At 38.3% G+C, this 10,044-nt stretch overlaps 1 annotated feature.

Moving 5' to 3' along the window:
- Positions 308-1,507: an enhancer, noted in NCBI's record as "P300/CBP strongly-dependent group 1 enhancer chr16:76838358-76839557 (GRCh37/hg19 assembly coordinates)". NCBI's record gives its function as "activates an origin of replication core promoter dependent on BRD2, BRD4, P300/CBP, MED14 and CDK7 cofactors, with strong dependence on P300/CBP, by STARR-seq in HCT116 cells {active_cell/tissue: HCT116}" and the evidence as "EXISTENCE:reporter gene assay evidence [ECO:0000049][PMID:35650434]".

Raw genomic sequence — 10,044 nt, forward strand, 5'->3', positions numbered from 1 at the left:
TGAGCAGGAGAATACCCAGCTGTACGCACAGCTCATGACCTGCGGAGGCCTCAGAAGGACAGGGGACTGCAGAGTGGGGAACTTCGCACTGGAGGCAAATGAGTAGAAACAGAAGTAGAAGTGAGTGCCAGACTGTTAATAGGAAGCATGATCAGCCACTCTAAGGCTGACCCCATAGTAGAGTACCCCCAAAATTTCACCAGATCATTGACATTATTTATACAGACAAGTTCTGGCTCTGTCGCTCAGGGTGAATGAAGTATAGTGGTGTGATTGTAGCTCAGTGCAGCCTTGAACTGTGCTCAAGGGTTCTTCACACTTCAGCCTCCCAAAGCTCTGGGATAACAGGCCAGATCACTCACTTTAGAGAGGAGACTAGAGGGACCAGTGAATGACTTCACACACATCATTAAGATTTGCCAGTCTGTCTTCATCCAGCAGCCTTCTTGAGAGGAAGGGGAAAGAAAAACAGAGTATAGAGACACAGCCAGGAAAGGAGGGTTTAAAGTTTGACGGCGCTTTCTCCCAAAGAACCAGAGTTAAAACAGGAGAGAGAACTTTGACCTGGAAGAAACGGTTGCCTTGAAATGGTTCATATTTAGTCATGTTGTGGGCTCCCAACAACTCATGGCATGGAGAATACTATTGGTCTCCAGAGCAAGTTGTAGAAAACATTTTTCAAAACATTTTTAAAAACTGCTTTTGTTGACCATTTCAGTTAAAGCAGGATTGAAATCTGAACCCTCTATAAAACATGCACACAGGCGGCTGAGGCAGGAGAATGGTTGGAACCCAGCAGGCAGAGGTTGCGGTAAGCCGAGATCGCGCCACTGCACTCCAGCCTGGGTGACAGAGGGGGGAGACCCTGTCTCAAAAAACAGGTGGGGCAGGATGGGGGAGGGGGGGGACAACGAACAACTCGCAGTTTTGCATTGTTTAGCTCTTACTTAATGGAGTCACCACCATCTGCCTTCCCTTGCAGGTCCCTCTGTCTGTGGAGTCCCTGCGTGTACAGCTCACTTTTCAATTGGAAGTTTCTACAAACCTAACACTCAAAGTCCCTCATAAAGCCAAATTATCCTTGAAAGACAATTCTGGTTTTCTCATTTTGCCTCCTACAGGGTGACTAATAGTAAAACCTGATGGTGAGTCAGGAGCCATTCCTTTCATTTTCTCTGAGTCATTAGTCATTTATGACAAACGTATTGCTCCCCTTGAATTAACTTCTCCTTGAGGGCTAGGGTTGAGTGTCATAGAACATTTAAAATTAGAAAGAACCTTAGGGAGCTTCTAGTCTAATCTTATACATAAACTAAGGCCTGGGGAAACTATTGACTTGAGAGAGGTCAGATTGTAAATAGCACAGCAGAGCCTCAAAGTTCTCCTGGTTGTAGCCCAGAGCCCTAAGATACACACTTTAAGGCACATCATTGGAAGTGGCCTAAAAATGCACAAGCTTTCAAAACCACACATTGGGTCGAGAATTCCGTTTATAAACATCCATTATGGAGTCATTACCTGAGAATATCATGCACAGGTCAACTTCTACAGGAAAAAGAACATTTTGACCAGAGTCAGTCACATCTTCTGCGTGCTTGCTTTCCTGAGGGAACAACCACTAGCTATCAAGAAATTGAGTAAAGAGTTTACTAAGTTTGGGGCCCTGATGAAAATGAAACCATCTGGTTTAGGTTTTGTTCTGAACAGGGAAAGAGATTAGATTCATAGGTTCACAAAAGCAAACTTCATTGCAGAAGGAAAAATACTTCCACTTGAGAATTTCTAGCTTTACAGAAGTTCGGTGAAAGTAGATGCTATTGATGTAAGAGGCTAATGTCTGTCACAGTCTAGGTATTTTGCAATGACTTTCTTCACAGCATGTTCATTTTAAGATTAAGGAGGTCTTTACGGTTCATGGAAGTTTAATGAGAATTACAATAGCCCCCCAGATACCTAAACACAGAGGTTAGGGTTATTTAAATGACTGTTTTATCATGAGAGGGAACTTGCCCATTTCGGGTATTAACATTCTTTGAAAAACTTGAGTTTCCACAGGCTTTTTCAATTCTCTCCTACATACTGTAATTTATAAATCGCAGAGTATATGTTGCTATGGAAATGGCCTCCGGTCTGTTACTGAGACACATAAAAGATAATCCTTGGGCTCTGTTTTATGTATCTATACATACATACACATATATTCCACATGTAAATAAGATTATGTGATATTTTTCTGTTGGTGTCTGGCTTATTTCACTTGGCATAATGTCCTCCAAGTCTATTCATGTTGCAACAGATGGCAGGGTTTCCTCCGTTTTTAAGGCTGAATAATATTCCATTATATATATATATATATATCACAATTTTATTCATTTGTCAGTTGATGGACATTTAGGTTGTTTCTGTGTCTTGGCTGTTGTGAATAGTGCTGTAATGAACGTGAGTGCAGGTATCTTTGAGGGTGTGACTTTTATCTCCTTTGGGTATTCAGGAGATGGATTGTTGGGTTACATGGCAGTTACATTTTTAAATTTCTTTAGGTATCTCAATACCGTTTTCCATTATGGTTGTACCAACCTAAATTTCCACCAACAGTATGTAACTTTTCTCCACATCCTTGCCAATACCTATTTTCTTTTTGATAACAGCCATCTTTAAGAGTGTGAAGTAATATCTCATAGTGGTTTTAATTTGCACTTCACTTAGGATTAATAATGTTGAGCACATCTTCGTATTTGTTGGCCCTTTTAACATCTTTGGAGAAATGTCTGTTTGGTCCTTTGCCTGTTAGACAGCTTTAAAAATTTTAGATTCAAAGAGTACACATGCTTCTTCATTACATGGGTATTACTTGCATAATGGTAGGGATTGGGTTTCTAGTGTACCCATCACACAAATACTGAATACTGTACCCATTTAGGTAAGTTTTCAACCCTCATTCAATACCTTTTAATAGTCCTTATACTGTATTCTCTTTATACCAGTTGTTTAGCTCCCACTTGATGTGATATTTGATTCTCCTGCTTCTGGGGTTGGTTCACTTAGGATAATGACCTCCGTCTCCACCCATGTTGCTGCAAAGGGCATGACTTTTGTACTTTTTTTTATAGCCACACAGTATTTCATGATGTATAGATACCATTTTCTTTATCCATTCAACTGTTGATGGATACTTAAGTTGGTTCTATGACTTTGCTGTTGTAAGTAGTCTTTGCCCATTTGTTGATTGGGTTCTTCTGCTATTGAATTTGTAGGAGTTCTTCATAAATCTTGGATAAAGATATCAGATGTGACTTGCAATTATTTCCCAGTCTTTAGGTTGTCCTTTGAAAAACTAGTTGTTTGTATAAGTTGGAATTTATTTCTGGGCTTTCTATTCTGTTCCATTGGTTGATTTTTGTGCATTTTTGCTAATACCTTACGATTTTGATTACTATGAAACCTCTTAATATAATTTTAAATTGTATGGTGGATCTAACTTGTTTTGCTTTCTCAGTATTGCCTCAGATACTCGGAGATTTTTGTGGTTTCATACAAATCTTAGGATTGTTCTTTCTATTCTTGTGAAGAATCGAGTTGGAATTTTGATAGGGATTGTATTAAAGCTGTATATTGCTCTGGGGAGAATGGACATGTTTACAATATTCCCTTCCATGAACATGGAATATACTTTCATTTACATCTTCAACTTCTTCATTAATGTCTGATAGTTCTCAAGATATAAATATCTAATTTGTATTGCAGATCTTTGTTCAGTAGATTTTAGCTGCTCTTGTCACACAAAAAGTAACTGAGGTGACAGGTATGTTAAAAGGTAAGCCTTGGAGATAAACCTTATTTTGCAAATAAATTGCTGTCCTTTTATCTCCAAACATCTCCTGTTAGACATGCTGGCTATAAAAGATAGAGTAGGTATTAAAAAGAAGGGAAATGAGGAATTTAAGTAAAAACTCATGTTTTCTGGAAAATAAACCAAAAGGGCGTAAAGAATATATAAAAAGATAAGTGATGTTACTGCAGCTAATCTTTGTCAGCTACTTATCTCCTCGCATAAACTTTAACTTGGAAGCGATTCAGAATCACCGGGAGGCATTGTTAAAACTCATGCTAAGCATCATACTTGGAGCCTGTGACTTGGTAGTTCTGTGGTGGTAGGGCCCAAACATTTTCTTTCTTAACAAGTCCTAGGTGATGTTGATGCTGCTGAGCTAGGCATCAGATTTGAGAACCACTCTTCCAGCATTATTTTAAGCATTTTCAAAAATTGTAAAATACACATAAAACTTACCATTGTAACCATTTTCAAGTGTAGTTTAGTGACATCGATTAGTCACATGGTTGTGTGACTATGGCCACCATCCATCTTCAGAACTCTCATTATCCAAGCTGAAACTCTGTACCCACATATCAATAACTCTGTCCTCCCCACAACCCCTGGCAACCACAATTCTAGTTTGTCTCTATGAATTTTACTATTATAGATTCCTCATAAAGTGGAATAATATTTTACTTAGCATAATGTCCTTAAGCTTTATTCACGTGATAGCACATGTCAGAATTTTCTTTCTCCTTAAGGCTGAATAATAACTCCATTGTAGGTACATACCACATTTCATTTATTCATTGATGAACATGGGATTGTTTCTACATTTTAGCTATTGCTGCTACAAACATGGGTGTACAAATATCTGAGCCTTTAATTGTAATTCTTTGGGAATATACCTAGAAGTGAAATTGATTCTAAGCATTTTACACATAGGATTACATTTCATCTTTGAGAAAAGGTATGCTATTATCCCCATTTTAAGTACGAGGAAACAGACATCCAGAATTCATCTAATTTTGCTGAGGTCACGCAGCTGATAAACAGACCATGGGTTCCAGTGCAGGCAGCCTGGCTCGAAGGATCAGGCACCTGCTTAAACTGCCTTCTATACCTGAAGAAAGCAGTTCTTTTTTGTGGAAAATTCTCATAATTGATGCAGACATTAATTTTCTACAATAAGAGTGGAAGTGATTACCTTTTAAAAATAAGGGCTAGCATGGGATTAAATAAATGTGTCTAAGAAATTAGTTAAAAGATAGAGAAATATTCCATCTAGTTTAATTTAGGTACTCAAATTTCTGTAACACTAGGCTAAACTGTATCTAAAATCTGTCATTTTAGTGGTCAAACCTATTTCCAGTTTTCCAAACAGTTCAACTCCGAGCAGTAGAAATGACAATTTCACAGTGGAGTCAGAAGTGTCCTTTGAATAATCGAGAGCAGAATTGGCCCTTTGCCGTGTACTCAATTCTCTGTGTAATTAAACCATCCATTAAGAAATGTACACAGTGGTCTTTGCATGCAGTTAAGTTAAATTGTCATGTGGAATGGATCAGAAGCCATGACTGGAATACTGTAGGAAAAACTCCAGCACAGTACATAAGACACAGTATAACAGAACAATGTGGGTGAGAAAACCCACATAGGGCCCAGTTTAAGAGATTGGATATTCTTTTCCAGGAATTCTCCTTTCTCTTTGAACTGCCTCCTTGCTTCTCTGAGATTCAGAGGCTTAGTGTATGATAGTGCACCTCAAGTATGAGAAATCATGGTAAAACATAACAAAATTTAACCATTTTCAAGTGTACGGTTTAGTGACATTGATTGTAGCCACATGGTTTTGTAACAATCGCCACTGTCCGTCTTGAACTTTTGTCATGATCCAAGCTGAAACTCTATACTCAAGTATCAATAACTCTGTTCTTTCCTATCCATGGCATGCAGTGGTCAAAAGAGGTGAGAGTATCATCAACTTATAGGTACTTTACATATATTTTAAATGTGCGCATTTATTCTGGAGTTATAATCGGGATGGGGTGTGGCTTATGGCTATTACGTGAAGGCAAATAAGCAATTCCATTCTTCAAGCATGACCTCAGATCACACATGCACATCCATTCCTTGCCAGCATCAATGATAGGCGAATTGTGGCAGATGGTCAGAGCATCGTTGTGTTGGCAATGGGAAAGCCAACCTTTAGGTAAGAGACGTAAGATGAAAGCGTATGAAAAGTGCATATTTCCACTCTATCTAGTTTCTCAGTCATATATAATAACTCTGAGAAATCTAGAGGAGGATTTATATCACACAATTGAAAAAATGGGCACTTTTTCCTGCATGTGGCAATCTAGTATGCATTTAAAGACCCCCTGTGTATTTGTTCCCCATCTCTAGTTTTCTATGCTGTAACCTAAATGTTGATAGTTCTTCCAGTTTCTTCCTGTATTTCATTATCACACTGCTGTAAAGAACTACCCAAGACTGTGTAATTTATGAAGAAGAGGTTTAATTGACTCACAGTTCCCCAGGATTAACAGGAAGCATGACTGGGAGGGCTCAGGAAACAGAATCATGGCAGAAGGTGAAGGGGAAGCAAAAGCAGAGGCCTTCTTCACATGGTAGTGGGGAAGTGCCACGCAGGTTTAGACCATCAGATGTTGAGAACTCACTACCATGAGAAAAGCAAGGGGGAAATTCACCCTTATGATCCAGTCACCTCCTACCAAGCTCCTCCTTCAACTTGACGTGAGATTTGGGTGGGGACACAAATGCAAACGATATCACTCCCGGAGTTTTCTAACTTTCCATCTTATTTGTGGTCCTCTGGATGAACTGCCATTTTTGGGAAGCTCTGCCTAAACTTTCTTCGCTAAATTACCATAAACACAACTTTACTAGTTTTTTTAGGATAGCTATTTTATGAATTGGGAAACTTAAATGACTGTTGTACCTGATAATTTATCACATCTCCTATGCTTTCAGTTTCACTTAAATATTTTTATCTTTACATTTCAAAGGTTAGTGATAATTGATGCAAAGGGGAAAAGCAAGTTAAGCATATATCATTTCTTGTCTTTATTTTTTTTTTAAGTTTTAGGGTACAAGGGCACAATGTGCAGGTTACATATATATACATATGCCATGGTGGTGTGCTGCACCCATTAACTTGTCATTTAACATTAGGCATATCTCCTAATGCTATCCCTCCCCCCTCCCCTGACCCCACAACAGGCCCCAGTGTGTGATGTTCCCCTACCTGTGTCCATGTGTTCTCATTGTTCAATTCCCACCTATGAGTGAGAACATGTGGTGTTTGGTTTTTTTGTCCTTGTGATAGTTGGCTGAGAACGATGGTTTCCAGCTTCATCTGTGTCCCTACAAAGCACGTGAACTCATCCTTTTTTATGGGTGCATAGTATTCCATAGTGTATATGTGCCACATTTTCTTAATCCAGTCTATCATTGTTGGACATTTGGGTTGGTTCTAAGTCTTTGCTATTGTGAATAGTGCCACGATAAACACGTGTGCGTGTGTCTTTATATAGCAGCATGACTTACAACCCTTTGGGTATATACCCAGTAATGGGATGGCTGGGTCAAATGGTATTTCTAGTTCAAGATCCCTGAGGAATTGCCACACTGACTTCCACAATGGTTAAACCAGTTTACAGTCCCACCAACAGTGTAAGTGTTCCTGTTTCTCCACATCCTCTCCAGAACCTGTTGTTTGCTGACTTTTTAATGATCACCATTCTAACTGGTGTGAGATGGTATCTCATTGTGGTTTTGATTTGCATTTCTCTGGCCAGTGATGAGCATTTTTTCATGGGTCTGTTGGCTGCATAAATATTGTCTTTTGAATTGTCTGTTCATATCCTTTGCCCACTTTTTTATGGGGTTGTTTGTTTTTTTCTTGTAAATTTGTTGGAGTTCATTGTAGATTCTGGATATTTAGCCCTTTGTCAGATGTGTAGATTCCAAAAATTTTCTCCCATTCTGTAGGTTGCCTGTTCACTCTGATGGTAGTTTTTTTTGCTGTGTAGAAGCTCTTTAGTTTAATTAGATCCTGTTTGTCAATTCTGGCTTTTGTTGCCATTGCTTTTGGTGTTTTAGACATGAAGTCCTCGCCCATGCCTATGTCCTGAATAGTATTGTCTAGGTTTTCTTCTAGGGTTTTTATGGTTTTAGGTCTAACATTTAAGTCTTTAATATATCTTGAATTAAGTTGAGTATAAGGTGTAAGGAAGGGATCCCGTTTCAGCTTTCTATTTTTAACACATTGCCTCCACCCTGACTCAAGTGTGTTTTTTGTCGTATGAAACTTTTAGAACATCTTTTCTTGTTTAGATAAAAGGGATAAGCCTAGATACGTTCTAGTGGGAGCCTCTGTGATATTGTTTCTGTAGGATGAAGCATCTTTTATCAACACTTTATCTTGCTTTCCATATCTAGAGCATATTTTAATCTGAGCTCAAATGGCTCTCTGTTCAGAAACATTGATTTCACTAAATGACTCCTTACAGTTTGCAAAATTCTAAGTACTTTGAGCTCATTTAATGTAAGATCCAAGTAACACTTATAAAGCTATGTTCTGTAGCAATGTCTTTCTCTGCTAGGGAGTCTTAATTATTTCTTGGAGATAAACTTCAAAGTATTTGGCTCTTAGAAGTCAAGACTATGCCTAAATATTCATAGTATTCTTTCCCATCAGTTGGATTCTTAGTTGCATAAAGAGATACACACTGGCTCATGTAAGTAAAATAAGGCATTTTTGAAGAAAAATTTGAGTACCTCACAGGATCTCTGGGGTCTGAAGAACGCATCTTGGTGGCTATCCAGGAACAACATCCCAAATCTTACAACGGAGCTTCTTGTATACTTGTTCAAAAATCTGATTGACCCCACTTCTTTTTCTAACCACTCCTTCATATGTCAGTTCCATGAAGAGTTTGATAGCTTTCTGCAGGTGCTATCGGGATGCCTTGCCTTGAACTTGCTTGCACAATCTACCACCTGAGAAGAAGCTTCCCTGAAACTGCAAATTGAAATACCTTCAAGAATCCAAGTGGGGTGGAGGGAAGCTAATGCCCATGAGACCACCCTTGAGCAATAATCGGAGGATGAATCTGTCTTCCTCCCTGTCATTCCCTAGGTACACACCTGTGACATTTCGCTAAAATTTTCAGACAGTCCTGGTAGGATGTATCCTTGTAGTCCATCATGGTGGCTAAGTCAGTAGCACATCCCTGTAGTAACTCTTTCCTGACTTTAATTTCTGCCGTATCGCTCTGCTCTCTGGGATAATGTCCCCACAAAAACTATTGGCTCACTAGTCTTTTTTTTTCAAAGGCCTTTCTTTTGGAGGAACTGACAGTAAGATAGCTTGATTTACTATTTTCTCATTTACCTCCTCTGTTTATAACATAGTACATTATTTTCTTACTTTTTAGATGTTACTTTAGAGATAGCAGCATGGATTCTGGATTAAAAGTCTAATTTAAATTAGTACTTTTGCCCCGTCTTAGTCAATGTGAGGGCCTTAACGAACTTTTCTCCCTAACTCATGGACAGTTGGTGTTAAATAAATTATATGACTTTTAAATTTCACAAGACATTGTCGTGTCTATACAATCAGTAATCACTTGCTTTTACTCAGAGTTATCTGTTTAGTTGCACTTACTGCTCTTTTCTTAGTGTTTTCCTTCTGAGAGCACTTTTTACTAATCCTTTTAGTGAAGGTTTGTGGTGACATATGCTTTCAAATTTAATTTCAAAATGTCTTGCTTCCATTTTCTGAAGAATCTTTCACCAGATATGGAATTCTATATTGAATGTTTATATTGACTTATTTTCTTTTAGTACCTTTGAGAAATGAGAAATAGTTGTATTTTGGCATTCATTGCTTTGTTTTGAAAATCCAGCCATTCTTACTGTTAGGAAGTTAATACATATTCTTGTTTCTGGCTAATTTTAAAGATTTATTTTTTTTTTTAGCAGTGTTAAGGTGGTGTGTGTGTGTGTGTGTGTGTGTGTGTGTGTGTGTGTGTGTGTTGGTAAGTATCCTGTTTCATGTTTATAGCCCTTAAGTTTGTGGTTTAATGTATTTAATTTTGGAAAATTCTCTGCCATTAGATTTTCAAACATGACTTCTACCCCTTATCTTTGTCCTCTTGTCTGGGACTGCGGCTACACTATGTCAGAATTTTACCCATGTTCAC

This window comes from Homo sapiens, chromosome 16, assembly GCF_000001405.40.
Source record: "Homo sapiens chromosome 16, GRCh38.p14 Primary Assembly".
Taxonomy (NCBI): domain Eukaryota; kingdom Metazoa; phylum Chordata; class Mammalia; order Primates; family Hominidae; genus Homo; species Homo sapiens.